This window comes from Homo sapiens, chromosome 17 (genome assembly GCF_000001405.40).
Source record: "Homo sapiens chromosome 17, GRCh38.p14 Primary Assembly".
In the NCBI taxonomy this organism is placed as follows: Eukaryota; Metazoa; Chordata; class Mammalia; order Primates; family Hominidae; genus Homo; species Homo sapiens.
In genome coordinates, this window is record NC_000017.11 from 1,076,464 (window position 1) to 1,098,893 (window position 22,430).

Sequence of the window (22,430 nt, forward strand, 5' to 3'; positions counted from 1 at the left end):
AGCTCAGCAGACACCTGCCAGGGTGGGCTCCGGAGTGGCGGCTCCACAGAAAGCTGACACTGCATTATCGGCTCCCCGCAGCCCTCTCTTGGGTCCCAAGAGGAAGAGGTTTCTGACTAAGCTCAGAGGTCTGAACACATGGCAGGTTGGGTTTCAGAGGGGTTATTAACATGTCTGTGGTCACCTCCAGAGTCCACCTGAGTAAGGCTGTGGAATGAGCCCTGGAAGGGCGGCCAGGAGGGCAGGTGCACGGGGGGGGTGGGGGTGGGGGGGGTGGCGGCACTGGGACCACATCAGATACGGAGGGAACCGGGGGAATAAGAGCGGCCCTGAAGTTTGTGCTCCCCACGGCCCCTGCACGCTGGGGTCCCCTGAGAACTCAGGGTGAGGCACTCGCTCTGGCCCTTCCCCTGTCCCTGGGCTCCTGCAGGCTGGCCTGCTTCCTGCCCGGCCTCACCCACTCTCCCTCTCCACTGACACTGACTTGGGCAGCAAGCTGGTCTCTCTCTAGTTTGCTGGGTACTCGCTCTGTGCCCAAGGGTACTGAGTTAACTGCTTTGCTCTCATTATTTCCTGTGATTAAAACGGGAAGCAATTCTCACTAGCCCCATTTTACAGACAAGGCAACTGAGGCCAGAGACTTGTGGCTACAAGTGGTGGGAGCTGGGTAGATCCACCCGCACTCCTTGCTTTGAGCTGCACCTTCTTCAGGGAAAGGCAGCACCTGTAAAACCTCAATGAACCACAGGAGCGTTCTTGGAAAGAGTGACCAGGATGGGGTGAGCCCCCTCCTCACGAGCTGGCCCTTTCACTCCTCATTCCCCACTTTGAAGCCGACTTCAACAACAGTATCACGGAGACCGAAGCAACGTGAACTCCAGGTCCCAGGTCCGTTTCACTGAGTCGAAGCTTCCTTTTGGGGAAGGGAGAGGAAGCCAAGGGTACGTTTCCTTTTCAGGGAGGCAGAGTCAAGACCTGACCAACTCCTAGGCCAGACCAAAAAGACCATTTCTCCTCTGATCGCTGACCAGGCCAATTTCAAGTGAGAACAGGGTTCCTGCAGCCGCCCTGCTGGGCCGCAGGAGAGAGGCTGCCTCAGAGCTTGCTTCCATCAAGAGGGTCCTGAGAAGGTCAGGGGGCACTGGCCCCACACAGCCCCTCCAGCACAGCCGCCCCTGGGAAGGAGCCCAGGAAACCTGCCATCTCTCTTCCGGCAAGCCACCATCCCCCTCAAGTCAGCCTTCGACAAGGAGCTCCAAGGAGCTCCAGGTTACCAGGGAGATAGGAAAGCAAAGTGACTGAGAAGGGTGCAGAGCCGAAACACCTGGTGGGAAGGAAGAGGAAGGTCCTAAAACCAGCCGCCTGCTGCTCCCACAGACTCAGGCCCAGAGCAGCCGGCCTGGGAGCCACACGTGCCCACCCCACTCCCTGCCACAGGCAGGCAGGGCACCCCTTGGCACGTCTTGCCTCTTGAGGCAGGGTCCACGGGCTTCTGGACACCTCCCTACCTGGGCCGGCTTCATCCTCCTACGACCGACAGTCGTGTTGATGACATGCACCTGTCCCGGGACTTCCCCCCAGCCCCCAGCCAGCTGCGGGAGCTGCAAGGAGGATGGTCCGGGTCCCTTCCACCGAAAGGTGGTGTGTGTGTGTGTGTGTGTGTGTGTGACCTTCACAGAGTAGCTTGCCACACCCCTCTCCCGCTGGCCCTGCCGACCTGCCTTCCACAGTTGAGGGCCCAGACCTCGGCTGGGGGTCTCTCACGGCTGGAAACAAACCTCTCCTTCCTGCTCCCACAGCCCCTCCGTGTCCTCCGCCTACTGCTGCATGTGCGCGGAGCACACAATACCGTGCCGCCCAGCCTCCGCGCCTCTCTCCAGAAACAAAGAAACTCCCAACTTCTCCCTCTGGCTCGCGCTGGCACCCTCTCGGCTGGCAACGCCGCCGTCCGGACCATCGCCACCCATCGCCACGCTGTGCCTGGCCCCCGCAGACCCTCTCCCTGGCCTCAGGGCTACTACGTCTGCGGGCACAGCTCGTCGCCGTCTCTCCCTAACAGCCCCTCCAGGAAGTTCTCTCACACTAGCCCACCAATTCCCCACCGATCCTCGGGGCCACCTGGACCCCTCCAGCCTGGTCCTTCCATTTGCAAGCGGCCCTGCTCTGAGCAGCCCCCAGGTTTCAACTCTAGGCTGGATGCCGCCAAAACGAAGGGGGAATTCAGGTCCAGCCGCTCGCCCACCCTCCTTCCCTGCGGCCCTCTAACCTCCCCGGCCACATCTAAGCCCACTCCAGCCGGCCCCCAGAGGTGGGAGGGTCCGCCACCTCCCACAGCGAGCACCTGGGTTACCATAGGTGCAGTTACAGCAGAAGCGAATAATGAGGAGAATCTCCATGGCAGCCTCTGTCCCCGCGGCGGGAGCGTGCAGCCATCGCTCCAGGCTCCCCGGCGCCCACCAGCAGCCCGGCCACTCAGCCACCTTGCTGATGCTGCCGCACGGACTCCAGCATCGGGCAGCCGCTCCGGAGTGCTCTTCCAGCAAGGGGGAGGGGAGGGAGGCGCGTGGCGAGGAGAGGAGGGAAGGGGAAGGGGAGGAGGGGTAGGGAGGGAGGGAGCCAGCAGCCTGCTGGCATCCTAAAGAGGAGCACGTTTGTAGCTGGCTGGCTGCCTGGGCACGAGGCTAGAGTCCTCGCGTGCGCGCACACGCGCACTCAGCTCACACTCACACGCGCTCACACACGCTCACGCTCACACGCGCTCACACACACGCACACACAAGGGGAAGGGCGCCGCGTTCACGCAGCCTGTTGCCTGCACAGCCAGACAAAGGTAGGTGCCTGTAATCCAGCCCGCTCCCCGAGGTACCTTCCATGGTGACAGACGTGTGGCTGTCCTTGGAGTCCTTGGGACCTTTCACTTTGAGTTCCTGCCAAAGGGAGGAGAGGAGTCATGGCCTGTTCTGTCCCTCACCTCTCCCAGCCCCCACTGTGAGCCTGGCAAGAAGGGGAGTTCTGAAACTCAGGGTGTACATATGAGAACAGAGGCCGGGTGTGGCGGCTCACGCCAGTCATCCCAGCACTTTGAGAGGCCGTGGTGGGCGGATCACCTGAGGTCGGAAGTTCGAGACCAGCCTGGTCAACACGGTGAAACCCCATCTCTACTAAAAATACAAAAGTTAGCCAGGTGTGGTGTCAGGTGCCTGTAATCCCAGCTACTTGGGAGGCTGGGGCAGGAGAATCGCTTGAACCTGGGAGGCGGAGGTTGCAGTGAGCCAAGATCACACCATTGCACTCCAGCCTGGGCAACAGGGCGAGACTCTGTCTCAAAAAAAAAAAAAAAAAAAAAAAAAAAAAAAAAAAAAAAGAAAGACAAAGGAGCCCCATGGCCATGGGCTGCCTCTGCCACCCCAATCCCCTGCACCACACCTGTGAACTCCTGGAGCCTCGTGGAGTCCAGTGGCTGGGGCGTGGGCAAGAAGGAAGGGACTCCAGGTCCCAGAGATGAGAGAGGCTGGCAGGGAGCCCTGTGATTACAGGAACCCCGACTCAGGAACCCTACACGTCGGCCAAGGGCAGACAGGGTTTGAGTTGACCAGCGCCAGGTACTCCAGCCAATCTTTAGGGCATGAGGAACCCATGAGGTAGGAAGGAAGGGTCCCACACGCCAGCAGGGAAGTGGTGGACCTTCGGCAGAGATGCTGAGCTCCCCAGGACAGTGAGCTGCATCCTACCCCCATCAGAGAGCACTTACTCAGCCCCCAGCACCCCCGACACTCCCCACCCACCACTGCCCATGCTGGGGGTCCGAGAGGAAGCTTCGAGGGAGGAACAGCCAATGCCCCTCCTGGATCCCAAGCCAGGCAGCAGGTAGTGAGTACTGGAAAGACCCCCGGGATGACTCATCTGCTCCAAGCCTCTTTATCCTCCTTTAGAGACGTTCCAGCCCCAGCTTTTGCTAACAGGACAGTGCAGCCTGCAACTGGAGCTGTAATACCATCCCCACTTGGCAGACGGAGCACACGGAGCCTCAAAGAGGGGTGTGGGAGGGAAGGCAGGAGGCAAGGTGAGGCCACGGTCAGGTGCCCAGGTGATGAGGCCAGGGTCAGGTGCCCAGGTGATGAGGCCAAGGTCAGCTGCCCAGGTGATGAGGCCAAGGTCAGCTGCCGAGGTGATGCCACCTGCTTGGTCTGCAGGGGAGGAAGCGCTCAGACAGCAGGAACTTCCTACTTCTGTCTCAAGCTGTTTCTAGACAGAGAAAACTCCTGGAGATGGAGCTTGGGTGTGTGTATATTTTGGGGGGCGGGGGGGTGGGGGATACTCAGCGTCCCCAGCCTGTGTCTCTGGCTGGTGCCTGGACTCCCAGATTTCGGGAATGTTTCCTCACGCCCCCTCCAGTGAAGTCTAGGGTATGAAATCACTCCTGCTGCAGAGAGGAGCCTAATTGCAGTAATTAAGTGGCAGCCTCAGCAGGAAGCAAGCACGTCATCGAGTGAGTCAGGATGAGAAGCCACCTGGCAGAAAGCCAGGGGCCTGGCTCTGCCCTCCAGGGTGGGCAGGCTGTGAGGGGCTTATGGTTGGGTGTGGGGGTTTCTGCCTAGGCACAGAGAACAGGCAATCAGCCCAGGCCAAGAGAAGACCCCACACTCTCTGCACCATGTCTGACCCCGGGATCTTGGGCGGCCTTGGCAGGGCTGATCTGAACACAGACCAGGGGAGTCCAGGTAGTTCCTGGGTTGGGCTGGAAACCGCAGGGAAAGCACCATTTCTCCAGCCCCTTTTATTTGTATTTTTAATAGAGACGGGGTTTCACCATGTTTCCCAGGCCGGTCTTGAACTCCTGGGCTCAAGCCAATCTCCCGCCTCGGCCTCCCAAAGTGCTGGGATTACAGGCGTGAGCCACTGCACCTGGCCTCTCCAGCCACTTGACTCCATGGAGAGGGACTTCCCCACCCTGCACTTCGTCCTCCCAGGCAGAGGGTGACACATCTGCTCCATGGGTCTGGGAGAAGAAACTATGGTCAGCCATCCTCTCTCTGCACACTGGGTAAGAGGCGTGGGCTCTGTCCTCATTGTGGAGAGGGGCCTGTGTTTTCCTATTCCTGCAAGGGACTCAATAGATACTTTTTTTTTTCCAGACAGGGTCTCGCTCTGTCACCAGACTGGAGTGCAGTGGCGTGATCGCAGCTCACTGCAACCTCCACCTCCCGGGTTCAAGAGATTCTCCTGTCTCAGCCTCCCAAATAGCTGGGATTACAAGTGTGCACCACCACGCCCGGCTAATTTTTGTATCTTTAGTAGAGACGGCGTTTCGCCACGTTGGCCAGGCTGGTCTCAAACTCCTGACCTCAGGTGATCCGCCCGCCTCGGCCTCCCAAAGTGCTGGGATGACAGGTGTGAGCCGCCACGCCCGGCTTCTATAGGTACGTTTCATTCCAGAGGCGAAGTGTCAGCAAGCCCACTGTGGCTACAGATCCAAATCCACATTTTCCAAGCTGCATTTTTTTAACAGTAATGAAGGTGACATGTTCATCTCCAACTGTCAGCTTCTCTGCTGCCTCTCGGTGGATTCTAAACGTGGGCATCGACCGTCACCCCTGAAGTTTCAGGAAAACTACCCTGCGTTTCCCCAACTCTTCTAGCGTTAGAGCTGAGACGGGAACACAAAGGGCCAAGAGGGGCCTTTACGGCAGGACTCCCAAAACTGCAGAAGCTTCTCCCCTTTTCTAGGATGGAGGTTCTCTTGCCCTGAGCTGGGGGCTGTTCCTCTCAGGCCAGTGCTTCAGGGGTGCCACTGAGGTCTTTTTGGACAAAGGGATGAACTGGGCTCTGTCCTGAAGGATCCTAAGCAACTGTCCCTCCATGCCACCTCTTAGGTAGAAATGTTGATGGCAGATAGGACTGCACCTCTGCCCTGTGGAGGAGTGCGGGAGGAAGGCTGGGCCTCAGGAGCAGAAGCACGCGTGTTCCCAGCCAGGAAGGCTGGGCCTCAGGAGCAGAAGCACGTGTGCTCCCGGCCAGGTAGGCTGGGCCTCAGGAGCAGAAGCACGCGTGTTCCTGGCCAGGAAGGCTGGGCCTCAGGAGCAGAAGCACGCGTGTTCCCGGCCAGGGATTCTAAGGCTCCTTCTCCACATAAGTGGCTCTTACCCTTTTTGTGTTTATGGGATGGCAGTCTTAGAGTTGGCAAGAACCTTAAAAGACGACCTATAGTCCAAATTTCCTCAAGACTTCCCTGTCATAAATATTACCCAGAAGCTTGTTCAAATATAGAATCTTGGGCCCCACGCAAAGCCTTCTGAATCAGAAGCTCCGGGGAAGGTGCCAGGAAATCTGTGTTTTAAACAATGCCCCAGTGATTCTTATCAAGCAAGGTCAGGATTAGCTGGCCAAGCTGGACTCAGTGGCTCGCACCTGTAATGTCAGCACTTTGGGAGGCTGAGACGGGCACATCACCCGAGTTCGAGACCAGCCTGGCCAACACGGCAAAACCTCATCTCTACTAAAAATACAAACCTTAGCCAGGCGTGGTGGTGTGCGCCTGTAATCCCAGCTACTTGGGAGGCTGAGGCAGGAGAATCACTTGAACCCAGGGGGTAGAGGTTGCAGTGAGCCGAGACCGCGCCACTGCACTCCAGCCTGGGCGACAGAGCAAGACTCTGTCTCAAAAAAAAAAAAAAAAAAAAAAGGATTATCTGGCCATTTCTAAACCCCTCATTCTACCGGACAGGACATAAAAGCCAAGAGGGGGGACGTGACTTGCTCAAGGTCACCATAGTGTGGTGTGGGAGAACACTGCCTTGGATTTTTTTTTTTTTTTTTTTTTTTTGCCTCCCCTGTTCCTCTCTCTAATCTGAAAGAGAATAATAAAAAAATAAATAAAATAGATCGTTTTCTATTAAGAGGGAAAATGTCAGGTGCAAGAAAGCAAATATCAGGCTAAGTGTTACCCATTAGAGTAACCACTTCACCGACTGGCAAGCGAGGGAGGGGAGACCAAGGGCTCTGAGCAGCCCCCAAAGCTCCTTGTCCCTCAGGGTGGCTATGTGGGGAGCGGCCTACCTCTGAGATCTTCTGGAACTGGTTGTTGGACTGGCTGCACTTCTCAGCTGTCTCCAGAGCGACTTTATAGTTATCGACAAACGCTTTGTACACACCGAGCTGGCTGGCCTGCAGGGAGGAGTCAGGGAACAGAGGGAGAGGAGGGTGGGAGGGGAGAGGATTAATGAATGGATGAAAGCTTCACGGAGCACCGGGAGCTCCCCTGCACTGAAAACCTCTCACTCAGCTCGTTGGGAACTTGGGGAAACGCAGGGATGAACATATTACAGTGTCCCTTTGAACTGGACAGTTTCCATGGAAACCAGCTCAGCCAATAAGGTTAATGAGGGGGTCTGGGGTTGGGGAGACCAGGCTAGGGCCTTTGTTGGCCTGCTAGAAATTCAACTCTTCACAGCATCCAGCTTTCCTCAGCACGGTGAAGGTCTCCCAGGGTTTGAAATCCCTTAATGTCTCATACTTCCTTCACATCCTGGAATTAGCCGGAGCAGGGAGAGAGGGGGGTGTGTGTGCTGGGGGGAGCTGGCACGTGTGGCCTGCTCAGGCCTCCCTCCCCACGTGCAGCGTGGGGAACGACATTTAAAGGTGCTGTCTTGGCCGGGCGTGGCGGCTCACGCCTGTAACCCCAGCACTTTGGGAGGCCTGAGGTCAGGAGTTCCAGACCAGCCTGGCCAACATGGCGAAACCCCGTCTCTACTAAAAATACAAAAATTAGCTGGGCATGGTGGCGCGTGCCTGTAATCCCAGGTACTCAGGAGAATGAGGCAGGAGAATCGCTTGAACCCAAGAGGTGGAGGCTGCAGTGAACCAAGATCGTGTCACTGCACTCCAGCCTGGGTGACAGAGTAAGACTCCGTCTCAAAAAGAAAACAAAACAACAAATGAAGATGCTGTCTTTCCATTTCCCTTGGCCTTGAGGCCCCGTCCTCACCTCTTCCACCTCCTCTACCTCCAAGGAGCCAAAGCCCCAGCCTCACTACACGTTTGCCTGTCACTCACACAGTCACAACCTGAGTCACAACCACACAGAGCCTCGCCTCTTCTGAGAGGCAGGGCAGACCCCATCGCCCCTTTCTGCAAAAGGGGAAACCGAGGCTCCATAAGTCAATTCCCCAAATATTTATGGAAAGGCTTCGCTGCGCTGTATATAAGCACTTCCTCTTAAGGGACCAAAGGGTAGAAATTCAAATTAAAGCCATCACGAGATATTTTATACTCATCAGAAGGGTCAAAATTTAAAAGTCTAATTGACAGCAACGGCTGGCAAGCATATGGGGAAATTTAAACTCCCTGTTTTTGTTTTTGTTTTGAGATGGAGTTTCGCTCTTGTTGCCCAGGCTGCAGTACAGTGGTGCGATCTCGGCTCACCGCAACCTCCCGGATTCAAGGGATTCTCCTGCCTCAGCCTCCCGAGTAGCTGGCGTTACAGGCGCCCGCCACCACGCCTGGCTAATCTTGTATTTTTAGTAGAGACGGCGTTTCTCCATATTGGTCAGGCTGGTCTCAAACTCCCAACCTCAGGTGATCCACCTGCCTCGGCCTCCCAAAGTGCTGGGATTACAGGTGTGAGCCACTGCGCCCGGCCAATTAAAACTTTTTTTTTTTTTTTTTTTTGAGATGGAGTCTCGCTCTGTCACCCAGGCTGGAATGCAGTGATGCCATCTCGGCTCACTACAAGCTCCACCTCCCAGGTTCGCGCCATTCTCCTGCCTCAGCCTCCTGAGTGGTTGGGACTACAGGCGCCCGCCACCACGCCAGGCTAATTTTTTGTATTTTTTTTTAGTAGAGACGGGGTTTCACCATGTTAGCCAGGATGGTGTCGATCTCCTGACCTCGTGATCCACCCGCCTCGGCCTCCCAAAGTGCTGGGATTACAGGCGTGAGCCACCGCGCCCGGCCAATTTAAACTCTTAGACTACTCGGGGAAGTGTAAATTAGTACAATTATTTGGAGAGCAATTTGTTAATAACTAATAAAGCTGAGAATAGGCATGGCCTATTTTCAGTTGAACTAATAACAGTGTGGATAGGCACAGCCCATCGATTGCTTAGCAAATCCACTTTTACATACAAACTGCAGAGCCGTATCGTTCAGTGCAGTCGCCACCAGCTACCTGAGGCTACCAAGCACCTGAGATACGGCCGGTTCAAACTGAGACGTGCCGGACATGTAAAATACACAGTGGGTTCCAAAGCCTTAGTATGTAAAAGAGAATGTAAATTACCTCGTTAATTTTTAAATACTGATTACATGTTCAAATAATATTTGGATCTGCGGGAATAAATAAAAGATATTCTCAAAATTAATTTCACCTGCCTATTTTTACTTTTAAAAATGTGGGTATTAGGGGCCAGGCGCGGTGGCTCACAACTGTAATCCCAGCACTTTGGGAGGCCGAGGCGGGCAGATCACCTAAGGTTGGCAGTTCGAGACCAGCCTGGCCAAAATGGTGAAACCCTGTCTCCACTAAAGATACAAAATTATCCGGGCGTGGTGGCACGCATCTGTAGTCCCAGCTACTTGGGAGGACAAGGCAGGAGAATCGCTTGAACCCAGGAGGTGGAGGTTGCAGTGAGCCCAGATTGCATCACTGCACTCCAGCCTGGGTGACAAGAGCAAGACCCCGTCTCAAAAAAACAAAAAAAAGGTGGGTATTAGAAAATGTGAAATGATGTACGTGGCTCATAAGCTATTTCCATTAGACAGCAGTGCTCTGGAGCAAATGGCCTATGTGTGTGCCCCAGGGGACTCAAGGGTGTTCACCATCTCACTTTTCCTCCTCATAGTGGAGGGACTGGTAACAAATGCTCACAAACGGGGGAAGCCGCGCACACAGCCATGAACATGGATGCACCCGATTTACACATAGCATTGCTGACAAGCTCCAAAACGAACATGGGTTGAACTGTAAAATACGATTGCTGACAAGCTCCAAAACGAACATGGGTTGAACTGTAAAATATGATATATGTGTATACTTATACACTTTTTTTTTTTTTTTTGAGATGGAGTCTCGCTCTGTCAACCAGGCCGGAGTGCACTGGCACGATCTTGGCTCACTGCAAACTCCGCCTCCTGGGTTCAAGTGATTCTCCTGCCTCAGCCTCCTGACTAACTGGGACTACAGGCACGCACCACCACACCCGGCTAGTTTTTGTATTTTTAGTAGAGACAGGGTTTCGTCATATTGGTCAGGCTGGTCTTGAACTCCTGACCTCAGGTGATCCACCCGCCTCCGCCTCCCAAAGTGCTGGGATTACGGGCGTGAGCCACCACGCCTGGCTTAGACACATTTTTAAAGTACATGCAGCTGGGAGCTGTGGTACACACACCTATAGCCCTCGCTACTTGGGAGACTGAGGTGGGAGGATCACTTGAGCCCGAGTTCAAGTCCAGCCTGGACAACATAGCAAGACCTTTTTTTTTTTTTAAAGTACAGGCCAACCCAAAATAGATACAGATATGTAGTAAACACACAAACTGCAGTCTGGAAGGCTATCCACCAAATTCATGCCAGTAGCTGCTTCAAGAGGGAGGAGGGAGGGGAGACTCCACCTTCATGTGTGACGCTGTATTTTCTTCATTAGAAGGTTCTGCTGTTATTCTTTGGAGTTTCTGGTTTAAATGTTTTTCAATACAGCAGCAAGGGGGATACAGCTGCTGCCTGGCTTCCTCAGGGGCCTCTGCTTCCCACCAAGGTGCTGGGGGAAGTGGGCTGCTGTGGACCCCCACCCCGGACCACTCTGCTTTCTGCAGGATCCTCATGCTCCCCAAGGACCCAGAGAGGCTGGGGTGGGGGTAGGGGTGGGGGCAGGCTGGCCGCAGCATCGGCTGAGCCTGGAGCCTCCCAGTACAGAGGCAGAGCCCTTTGAGGAAGCTGGTGGGGCAGGGGAGCGGGGGGCATCTGGAAAAGCCAGAGGGGAGCGCGAGTGGGGACGCCCGGCGTGACGCCAAGGCCAGAGGCATTCAGGTCTCAGCTGCAGAAGGGCAGGACTTTAAAAGGGGGCAGGGCCGGACTTTTAAAAGAGGGCGGGGCCTGAGTTTTAAAGGGGGTGGGGCCTGACCTTAAAAGGGGGCGGGGCCGGACGGGAGGGAGTTTATTTCCTTTTCCAGGGAGTACTGAGGCCCGGCCCATCAATGCCCACGCTACACGAGGCATACTAGACAGTCGCTGCCTAAGCCAAAGTCAGATCACCGATATTCTTCCAGGAAAAGGCTCCTCTTGCCCCCTTTCCCACAAGAAGGAGAAAGCCTGGAGGCCCGGGTTGGCACACCACCCTCCCAGGAGCCAGGGGCAGGAGCCAGCCGTGCGGAGGCCTGCGTCCAGGGTCACGGTAATCTCAGGGACTGCCGCTGCCACAGTCACCCCAGGCGGTAGGGCCCGAGGCCTGGCTTGGCAGGTTCATTAACTGGGAAGTGCAGGTTGCCTGGAAACAGCAGCCTGGCACTGGAGTGATCTCATAAAACAAACAGCAGAGACGCTAATTCCCTTCTCTCAGTAACGAATAATCAAATACCCAGAGTCTTCGGCTGAAAATAAACCACCTCCGGATGCCAGACCTGACCCGGCTCCCCCCGGGCCCTCCCAAATCTGCAGCCCCAGGGGCCTCAGGCATCGGTTCACGATGCTGGGGAGGGAAAGTGGTGGGTAGCAGATTCACGGCCAGGCCTGTGGAGCCAAGACCAGAACCGGGGACAGCCAGGTCCAAGTGACAAAGATAAACTGTGACAGCGTTTCCAGCAACCCTAGGTTTGCTCTCCTCTACCCTCCTGAGGGATGAGGAGAGGATGCCCCCCAGGCCACTCAGCTCAGGTGAGCAGGCAGTGATGACAGGTGTTCACCATCCCTGAACCGGAGGGAGCAGGGGGGGGTATGCTAGAACCAGAGTGTGGCATTCCCTTGGAAGGATACCTTCCAGGGTGCCTCTTCCCAATTTAATAATAATAATAATAATAATAATAATAATAATAATAATAATGGCACTGATGATAATGACCAGTTATTGAGTACTTATTAATTTATGATGTTCCAGGCCCTGTTCCAAGCACTTTTTCTTTTACTTTATTGTATTCTATTTCTTTTTTTGAGACAGAGTCTTGCTCTTGTCGCCCAGGCTGGAGTGGAGTGGCACGATCTCGGCTCACTACAACCTCTGCCTCCCGAGTTCAAGCGATTCTCCCACCTCAGCCTCCCGAGTAGTAGCTGGGATCACAGGTGCGTGTTATCATGCCCGGCTAATTTTTGTATTTTTAGTAGAAACGGGGTTTCACCATGTTGGCCAAGCTGGTCTTGAACTCCTGACCTCAGGTGATCCGCCCACCTTGGCCTCCCAAAGTGTTGCTGGGATTATAAGCGTGAGCCACTGTGCCCAGCCATTTTTTTTTTTTTTTTTTTTTGAGACAGAGTCTCAGTCTGTCATCCAGGCTGGAGTGCAATGGTGTGGTTTTGGCTCACTGCAACCTCTGCCTCCCAGGTTCAAGCGATTCTCCCGCCTCAGCCCCCTGAGTAGCTGGGACTACAGGTGCATTCCACCACACCCTGCTAATTTTTTTGTATTTTTAGTAGAGATGGGGTTCCACCATGTAGGCCAGGCTGGTCTCGAACTCCTGACCTCACGATCCACCCACCCCGGCCTCCCAAAGTGCTGGGATTACAGGCGTGAGCCACCACGCTCAGTCAGGCCTATTCTATTTCTTTGTAGAGATAGGGTCTTGCTATGTTGCCCAGGCTGGTCTTGAACTCTAAGCCTCAAGTGATCTTCCAGCCTCAGCCTCCCAAAGTGCTGGGATTACAGGCGTCAGCCACCACACTCAGCCCCATGCAGTTTTCAGATATTAACTCCTCAAAATCACCCAATGAGGTAAATACTGTTACTATCCTGTTTTTTACAGATGAGGAAGCTGATTCAGAGCGGTTGGGTAAGTTGCCCAGTTGCAGGTTTAATCTGGCAGCGCTGGGATTCAAGCCCACTTTGTGACACGGCTCTAGAAGCTGTGCTGGAGAAACAGGACTCTCAGGACAGAAATCTCAGGCCCTGCAACGTCTCCCTCCATGCCCTTCCGAGTTCTCCCGAGGCCCAGTGGTCAAGGTCACGGTGCATTCACTCATTCAAGCAGTGACCACTGGGCTGGTTCTGGGAGTCTAAGAAGAAGGAAATGCAGGCCGGGCGCGGTGGCTCACGCCTGTAATCCCAGCACTTCGGGAGGCCGAGGCGGGCGGATCACCTGAGGTCAGGAGTTCGAGACCAGCCTGGCCGACATGGCGAAACCCCGTCTCTACTAAAAATACAAAAATTAGCCGGGTGTGATGGTGGGCGCCTGTAATCCCAGCTACTCGGGATGCTGAGGCAGGAGAATCACTTGAACCCGCGAGGAGGAGGTTGCAGTGAGCCGAGATCACGCCACTGCACTCCAGCCTGGGCGACAGGAGTGAGACTCCGTCTCAACAAAAAAAGGAAATGCAGTCCGTCCTCCTGGAACTTGTGGTTTGGGGGAGTCAGGCAGTTACTAGTGCTCACTACGAGGACTGGCACAAGGCCTGCATTTGGCGACTTGGAAAGCCTTCTTGGAGGAGGTCCCTTCTAAGCTGGGAACTGACCAGGGGAGGCCAGACGAGAGGGGGAAGGACGTTTCAGGCACACGGGGCCTCAAGTACCAAGAGTTAAGAAAGTGCCTGCCCTGGGAACTGAGAACAGAAAGTCCAGTGTCAGGAGCACAGAGGTGCGGGGAGGAAGCTGCCAAGGCTGGGGCTGGACACGGGTCAGTGTGCAAAGGGTCTCTCGAGCCATTCCTCGGAGCCTGACCTTCATCCGAGGGCCGTGGGGATCCGCTGAAGGGGCCGTCGAGGTTTCAGTGACTCTCTCCCCTCTAAGGAGAGGTGGGGGTGGGAGGTGAGTGGGCCTGGAGGCAGGAGCCACACAGGAGGATACGCAGCTGTCCAGGTGAGGGCCATGGGTGGCCAAGAAGAGGAAAAGGCGGCTGTGAGCAACGGCCAAAAAGTGGAGTCCACAGGACAGGTGGGGGAGGGGGTGCAGCCAGAAAGAGTCTGAAGCACTCGGTGAGGTAAAGACAGGAAGCGGAGCAGGTGACGCCGGAGGCAGGGAGCTCAGCTCTGAACACACTCAGCTAGAGGTCCTAGGAGTGTCCAGGCAGGAGAGGGAGAGTCTTCTCCAGCGTGAGAAAGGCAGAGCCCTGTCCATTCAGCCAGAACACGGCAGGGGAGGGGAGGAGGCCTCCAGCCTCTCACACCCAGAGAACAGGGCAGGAAGGAGGAGAAGGTCCTCTGGCCACTCACACCCAGAGAAGAACCGCGGCCTGGACTCCCAGTCTCCCTCTTGCCTGCTGGGCGGTCAGACGTTACGTAGCAGAGGTGGGGAGGGAGCTCCATGAGTCTGACCTGGGGGTCCTCCAGGGGACACAGCCAGAGATGGGGCAGAGCTGGGGGAGAGGGTGTCACAGAAGCACAGGGAACCAGAAGACTTCTGTGAACGTTTCCCAACACGAGGTCTGCATGTTAACCCACCCACTCCTGCCGCTCCCGACCCTGCAGTGGTGAGCAGGGCTGGGCTTCAGTGCTTCCTGCTCTTGGGACCTCAGGAGAGGATCATCGGCCAGTGTGCCCAACTGCTTCCTTTTACAGACCCGAGGTCTCAGGGGAGCAGTCCTCATGCCCCTAACCCGGCATGTGCCCCTCTGTTCACTGAGGGACAGGAGACTGAAGCCCAGCAAGAAGCCTTCATTCCAGGGCTGGTTCCTCAGAGCACCCTCCGGGAGAGAGAGGGAGCACCGTCCGGGAAAGACGGAGCACCCTCCGGGAGGGAGAAGGAGCACCCTCCGGGAGAGAGATGGTGCTCCCACAGAAGTGCCCATCCACACAGCCCATCTCCACCACCCCTGGAAGGACCTATCCACACAGCCTGTCTCCACCACCCCAGAAGCTCCCAGGGCTGCACCAGGGGAGGCCTAGAGTCAAGGCCCCGGCCCCAGGCACCCCATAACACACAGGCCCAGGCCTTCCTCCCGGACTCGGAGAGGTCTCAGGCCTTCAAGGAGTCCGAGAGGGCTGCCCGGTCCTCTCCTGAGGCTCCTGCAACACTATGGGCTCCACTGAGGCCCTGCGTGAGGACCCTCCATCCCTGGCAGACTCACCAGCTTCTGGAAGAGGTGGCCCATGGTGACCTGGCTGTCCCACTGTTGCACCTTGGGGCACAGGTTGTCATAGAACTCCTTGTGGATCTCATAGATGTCCTGGATCTTGTAGAAGATGGTCTCGATCTGCTGGATGGTGAGCACGGGCTGGGAGGTGGTGGCGGTGGCCTTCAGGGGTTTCATGGGCTGGGAGAAACAGAGGAAGAAAGAGCAGAGGTCGGGGGTAAACAAACCAGAGTGTCGGCAGGCCCCGGGGCCGATCGTTAGCCCTTCCCGCTGCCCAAGTCCTGCCCAGACAAGGCTGCCAAAGGCAGGGCACTGAAACGAGCTTTGTATCAAGGAGCCACTGCCACAGGCCCCAACAAGCCGCACACTCGACAGCAGGAACCTGGCCTGGCAGCTGTGCCAGGCCCGAGGGGTGGTGCCTGGGCTCACTCCCCTACCACGCAGCTGAGCTCAGCAGCAGCCTGTACTGGGTTAACAGGATCCGCGTCTTTCTTCCACGATAGCCTGTGCCCCGAGTCATAAGCTCCTTGTCACACTTCAGTGGAAGGGAGGGTTGACAGGGAACTCAAGCCTATAGCTGTTTCCTTCCAAGAAACAGAATGTGGTTCTAGGACTCAGAAGGTAGGGACCCGAAGTTACTCAAGACCAGTCTTGGCCTCACTGATGTTCCAAGTTCCCGTCACTTGGCACAGGGAGAGGCATGGGCGTTCACGTGTCCCCCACTGCAGCCCACCCCCGTGGCAGACATTGCTAAGCGACCGTGATGGTCCTTCCCACTGCGCATGGCAGGGGTCTCCAGTCTCAGACTCTTTCTCAATGCCTGCCTGTCTATACCAAGATGCTCCAGGGCCTGCCAGTGTAGACGGTGAGGTGGCAGATAACACAGACCAACCCCCAGCACTGGCCGGGAGCTGATGCCATCACCTTCCAGCCTAGCAGTGGGACCGTGGGATAACGGGACGTGCAGGCATTTCCTCAGTGTGGTTCTCTGCATTTTATAAATCACCTACAATGAATGAATATGAATAATCAGAAAAAAAAAAACCAAAGATGACCAGGCTGTACTGCAAAGGCCCTGCAGGACACAGGGCCTGATAACCTGCCATACAGGGAAGGTGTGGCAGGGAAGGGCAGGGTGGCCAGAGGGAGAGCAGCCACGTCGAATTCTTTTTTTTTTGGAGACGGAGTCTCGCTCTGTCGCCCAGGCTGGAGTGCAGTGGTGCGATCTCGGCTCCGCCTCCCGGGTTCACGCCATTCTCCTGCCTCAGCCTCCCAAGTAACAGGGACTACAGGCGCCCGCCACCACGCCTGGCTAATTTTTTTTGTATTTTTAGTAGAGACGGGGTTTCACTGTGTTAGCCAGGATGGTCTTGATCTCCTGACCTCGTGATCCACCCACCTCGGCCTCCCAAAGTGCTGGGATTACGGGCGTGAGCCACCGCGCCCGGCCAGCCATGTCGGATTCTGTTGATGTTCTTCACCTACCTGAAGGCCACGTGGAAAGAGGCTTAGACTTGGCTGGTCACGGTGGCTCACACCTGTCATCCTAGCACTTTGGGAGGCCGAGGCAGGTAGATCACCTGAGGCCAGGAGTTCGAGACAAGTCTGACCAACATGGTGAAACCCCGTCTCTACTAAAACTACAAAAATTAGCTGGGCGTGGTGGTGCACACCTGTAATCCCAGCTACTCAGGAGGCTGAGGCAGGAGAATCTCTTGAACTCAGGAGGCAGAGGTTGCAGTGAGCCAAGATTGCGCCACTGCACTCCAGCCTGGGTGACAGAGCCAGACTCTGTCTCCAAAAACAAAAACGAGGCTTAGACTTAATCTACGTTGCTCTGCAGACCCAGGAACAGTGGGGAAAAGTTATGGGGTCAGATTCGGGCTCACTAGAGCTGTCCCCCATAGGATTAAGTAGTGAGCTTTCCGACAAGAGAAGCATTCTAGCAGAGAATGGGTGACTCCACTGCTGAAAATGCTGCACTGAAGGGAACACCAAAGCCAGCGCCAGCTCCCTCTGAACGACGACCACCAGCTCCAGCCAACCACGGCAAACTCCCAGCCCAGCCTCACTCCAGCCTCACATCACCTCATTCTGATGAAGTCTCATCTACTCAGATATATCGCCTCACTCTGATGGAGACAGAACCCATGTTCACTGGAAGAAGTCGTCTCATCTACTCAGACACCCAGATGGTGCTCTGCCTTCTGGCTCCTTCATCCTCCGAGCTCTAAAAAGCCCAGATCCAACAATCCATGCAGGACAAAGCAGGACCCTCCTTCTGACCCTCGCCGCGCTAGAAACAACGGCCCCTCAGTGTCCAGTCAGGACTCTCCTTCTGACCCTCGCTGTGCTAGAATCAATGGCCCCTCGGTGTCCGGTCAGGCCCCTCCTTCTGACCCTCACCGTCCTAGAACCAACGGCCCCTCTGCGTCCGGTCAGGCCTCTCCTTCTGACCCTCGCCGTCCTAGAACCAACGGCCCCTCGGTGTCTGGTCCTTGCTAGGCAAGCGCATGGGGTTCCACCTGGTGCAGGCCAGGCAGGGTGGGCTTGAGTCGCAGCTCTGCTGTGCGCACATCACTCAGCATCCCTGGGCTTCGTGTCACCAGCAGCCTCATGTGTGAAACTGGGATAATACAGCCATGCGCTACCTACTGGCATTCCCGTCAGTGCGTACACGATCATGGTCCCAGACTGCAATTTTTTTTTTTTTTTTTTGAGACAGAGTCTCACTCTGTCACCCAGGCTGGAGTGCAATAGTGCAATCTCGGCTCACTGCAACCTCCGCCTCCCAGGTTCAAGCGATTCTCCTGCCTCAGCCTCCTGAGTAGCTGGAATTACAGGTGTCCACCACCCCGCCCAGCTAGTTTTTGTAGTTTTTGTAGATATGGGGTTTCACCATATTGGTCAGGCTGGTCTCAAACTCCTGACTTCAAGTGATCCACGTGCCTCGGCCTCTTGAAGTGCTGGGATGACAGGTGTTGAGCCACCATGCCTGGCTGAGACCTTTATAATCCAGTTGGGCAAAATGGGCCAACACAGATGAAATGACTATGGACGATGCGACTGACTGTAAGCACCAACCACATGGTTCCAAGGTTGTGCTGGAGTAGCCTGGAGGGCTGCATGGAGGAGGCACACATACCAGGTCCTTGGAGAGCTGAGCAGGTGGAGGAGTGGGGGCGTAGAGAGGCATGCCAGACAGGGAAACAGAAGGCACCGGGAGGCAGGAGCAAGGGAAGAGTGTCCCCCCAAGCCCAGGTGGGTGAGCTGAAAGCTTTGGGGACTCCCCACCCTCCATGAGGGACATGGAACTAGCTTCAGGATTGACATCGTCGTAAGAGTTTATCCTTTTCACCTCAACGCAGGACCCCACGGAGGAGCCCGCAGAGTCGCCACAGAATCCCCATACCCAAGAATTCTTGTCCCCGCCTTGGCGCAGTCCCCACTGAGGGGGAAATAAGGGAAGCAGGAAGGTCAGCAGTCCCAGGAAGGCCAAGGAGACGGGATTTCTCAGAAGCCGCGACGCGCTCATCTGCCACCCACACGAAGACAAAACACAATGGTTATGCTTCCTCCTCAACTTCCCACCCCGTCTGCAAAAGGGGAAGAAATGGACGCTCACCCACAGCCAGTCACAAGGACGGGGCCTGCGCTTGGGGCATCAGATGGTTCTCATGACACGATGGGGACCTTGGCTGTTACTCCTGATTTCACTCGCGGGGAGGGGACAGGGCTGGGTGTGTGCCCTTGGCTGGCCAGGACCCTCGAGGCCGTTATTTGTCTCTGGTGAAGTCCTGCGTATGGGCTCAGGGGCAGGAGGGTGGACTGAAAGGCAAGGTGACCCACACTGAGCTTCGGCACGGCACAGCCATTCTGCCAAAGCGCTAGCACACCACTCAGGCACCCCCTCCTCCCCAGTCCTGCTGCAGGGACAAGGGCAGGCCCCGGCTCTCCATTTCACCACTCGAGTTCTCGGAGAGGACCCGTGAGTGACTTCAACCCTGGCTCCCATACCAGCTGCTTCTCAGGAAGACGGGCCTGGGCCGGTTCTCACTTGCCAGTGGGACTTCACATAGCCGTTTGTCAGCTCTGTCCCCCAGCGACCGGCCTTTCGAAATAAGGGAAAGAAATGTACCCACTTCCTCCACCTCCTGCCCCAGAAGGCCTGGCATGCTTGCTGCCATGCCACCCGAGTCACTCGTCACTGGAGCCCAGGGAGGAAGGCCTCATTCACCTGTTTTATAGATAAAGAGCCTGCGATGCAGCGTGGCCAGGAGTCCACCCCAGGAGGGCCAGTCGTGGCCAGCGGTGGGAGGGGCTCTGGGGAGTGGCCTCACCCTGTGGCCCCAGCGTAGCAAGACACAGTTCCCAAGCTCAGTTCCCAGTGTCAAGGAGATCCAGAATTTCAATGCAGTTGGCTTCATCTTTTTTCCTTCACCCCCTACTTCGGCCCAGGCTCCCAGGCTTTTCCTGTAATCAGAGCCCACCAGGAAGCAGGAGGGCCCCAGAAGATGACCCCCACAAGCACCCCAGAGGCCAGGACGGAGGCTTCTGTGTGGAGGCTCGTCTGCCCCGTGTGTGCACATGGTTTTAGGTACACACACCCAGCCCTTTGCATATCAGGAAGTGTTCAGATGAAAGCAAACAGGCTGGGGCAGAGCGGTGGGAATGGGGTCAGGAGTGGGAAAGCGAGCATGGAGGGAACGAATTTCTTCTCCTTCAAGCTGGCACCTTTGCGAGGCCACCCCGAAGAGCAGAAGGTTTAGCTTCCTCCTAGCTGAGGGGTGGGGAGGGTGCAGGGGTTCCCAGCTCAGGGAGGAGAGGAGGAAGGGTGTGATTCTTTCACTCTGAGGTTTTCTTCTGAGGCTGTGGCTGTGGAGGGTCCTACTCCTCTTCCTGAGCCCTCCTACCACAGACCTGGCCTCCCAGCGAGTTCTTCCTTTGCTCCCTCTGGTCTCTGCTCAAGAAAGAGCCAAGCAGGGGCCCAGGAGGAGAGAGCTGGGGGAAGGTGGGGAACCCGCCCCGGGAGGAGAGAGCTGGGGAAGGGGGGGAACCTGCCCCGGGAGGAGAGAGCTGGGGAAGGGGGGAACCTGCCCCGGGTGGAGAGAGCTGGGGGAAGTGGGGGAACCTGCCCCGGGAGGAGAGAGCTGGGGAAGGGGGGAAACCTGCCCCAGGAGAGAGCTGGGGAATGGGGGAACCTGCCCCAGGAGGAGACAGCTGGGGAAGGGGGGAAACCTGCCCCGGGAGAGAGCTGGGGAAGGGGGGAACCTGCCCGGGGAGGAGAGAGCCGGGGAAGGGGGGAACCTGCCCCGGGAGGAGACAGCTGGGGAAGGGGGGAACCTGCGCCAGGCATATCAGGAAGGGGGCCCCTGCCCCACAGATTCTGCCTTTGGGGCATGAGCTGTTAGAAAGGCAGAGCAGGGAGGGGCTCTTGGTCTTGGCCCAGAGGAAGAGGCTCGTGGGTGGCAGGTGGGATCTAAGGGCTCCGTGTCTGATGGGGACAGGCGCCACTCCCTCCTTCAGGGAACGGGTGTGTTGTGGCAGAAACCACGAAGCCCTAACCTGTCTCCTCTCCCAGCAATAGAGAAATTAACAGTGTCAACGAACACTCAGGCTGTGTTCTAAGAGCTTTATGTGCCGGACACAGTGGCTCACATCTGTAATCCCAGCACTTTGGGAGGCCGAGGCGGGCGGATCACTTGAGGTCAGGAGTTCAAGACCAGCCTGGCCAACATGGTGAAATCTCATCTCTACTAAAAATACAAAAATTAGCTGGGCGTGGTGGTGGGTGCCTGTAATCTCAGCTACTTGGGAAGCTGACACAGGAGAATGGCTTGAACCCAGGAGGCGGAGGTTATAATGAGCCGAGATTGTGCCACTGCACTCCAGCCTGGGCAACAGAGCAAGACTCCGTCTCAAAAAAAAAAAAAAAAAAAGAACTCTGTGTATAAATTCCTTTAATCCTCACAACGACCCCATGAAAAGCATACTATTTGTATACCCAGTTTGCAGATGGAAAAACTGAGGCACGATAGCTCATTCACCTGCTGAAAGCCTGGAGCCAGTACGGCCAGGCAGTCTAGATCCTCTGTCTGAACTCCTTTCAAATACACACCCTGTTAGTAATGACAACTATGTTCCTTTTTGGACAGCAATTCACGGTTTGGAAGACGTGTTTCACGAATGTCTGACGGGTTGTCTCTTTGCCTGTCCTCCTTTCTTCCACTAACAGTTGAGTGTCTTAAGTAACTCAACGCTGTATGAGGTCCCGAAAGCATCTCCCGATCTTCTCAACCCCATGGAAAGAGAGAGAAAGAATGGCATCCCTCTCATCTTCAGATCCAGAAATGGAGGCTCAAGGAATTTATGTAGGGCTTGCCCAAAGCCAGCAGTTTTCTTTTCTTTTTTTTTTTTTTTGTGATGGAGTCTCACTGTGTCGCCCAGGCTGGAGTGCAGTGGCGCAATCTCTGCTCACTGCAAGCTCCGCCTCCCAGGTTGACGCCATTCTCCTGCCTCAGCCTCCCGAGTGGCTGGGACTACAGGTGCTCGCCACCACGCCCGGCTAATTTTTTTTGTACTTTTTTAGTAGAGACGGGGTTTCACCGTGTTGGCCAAGGATGGTCTGGATCTCCTGACCTTGTGATCCGCCCACCTCAGCCTCCCAAAGTGCTGGGATTACAGGCTTGAGACACGGCGCCCGGCCAAAGCCAGCAGTTTTCAAACCCACAACAGGTGTAAGACACCATGGGCCCGGCAATTACATATATATACAGGCACACAGACAGACAACAAACCGAAAGTTCCCTCACTTATCTTTCCCGTGTATGATGCATGCTGACATTTTTTCATTGGTTTAAAAATGCTGGTTCAACCCACTGTACTGGTTTCACAACCCACTGTACTGATTTCACAACCCAAAGCACTGATGGGCTGAGAGGCACAGTTTGAGAAACAGTGCAATACGCCTGCTCTTAATGGCAGGGCCAAGTCTTGCCCTAGCTCTGGCCCCAGACCAGGACCCTCAGCTACCTGCCACACTGCCCCTCACTTGGAAAACAGCTCCGTACACACAGATAAACTCCTGGAGAGATGGGACGTACTCAGCCTGGCGTGTGGCAAAACAGCTGCACATTCAGAGTTTCACTCTTGTTGCCCCGGCTGGAGTGCAATGGTGCAAACTCGGCTCACTGCAACCTCCACCTCCCGGGTTCAAGCGATTC

At 55.9% G+C, this 22,430-nt stretch overlaps 1 protein-coding gene across 6 annotated transcripts in view; it reads right to left on the bottom strand.

The window, feature by feature from the left end:
- ABR (ABR activator of RhoGEF and GTPase) overlaps window positions 1-22,430 on the bottom strand; it is a 226,204-nt gene that overhangs the window by 72,945 nt on the left and 130,829 nt on the right. For 5 of the 6 annotated variants that reach the window (NM_001322841.2, NM_001159746.3, NM_021962.5 and 2 more), the window contains 3 exons: window positions 15,202-15,387; window positions 7,057-7,164; window positions 2,867-2,927 (listed from right to left, as the gene is read on the bottom strand). In NM_001322841.2, coding sequence (NP_001309770.1) covers window positions 2,867-2,927; window positions 7,057-7,164; window positions 15,202-15,387 — 355 coding nt within the window. Of the gene's footprint in view, window positions 1-2,350; window positions 2,531-2,866; window positions 2,928-7,056; window positions 7,165-15,201; window positions 15,388-22,430 lie in introns of those variants that run through there. The other variant, NM_001282149.2, reaches the window with a different exon arrangement.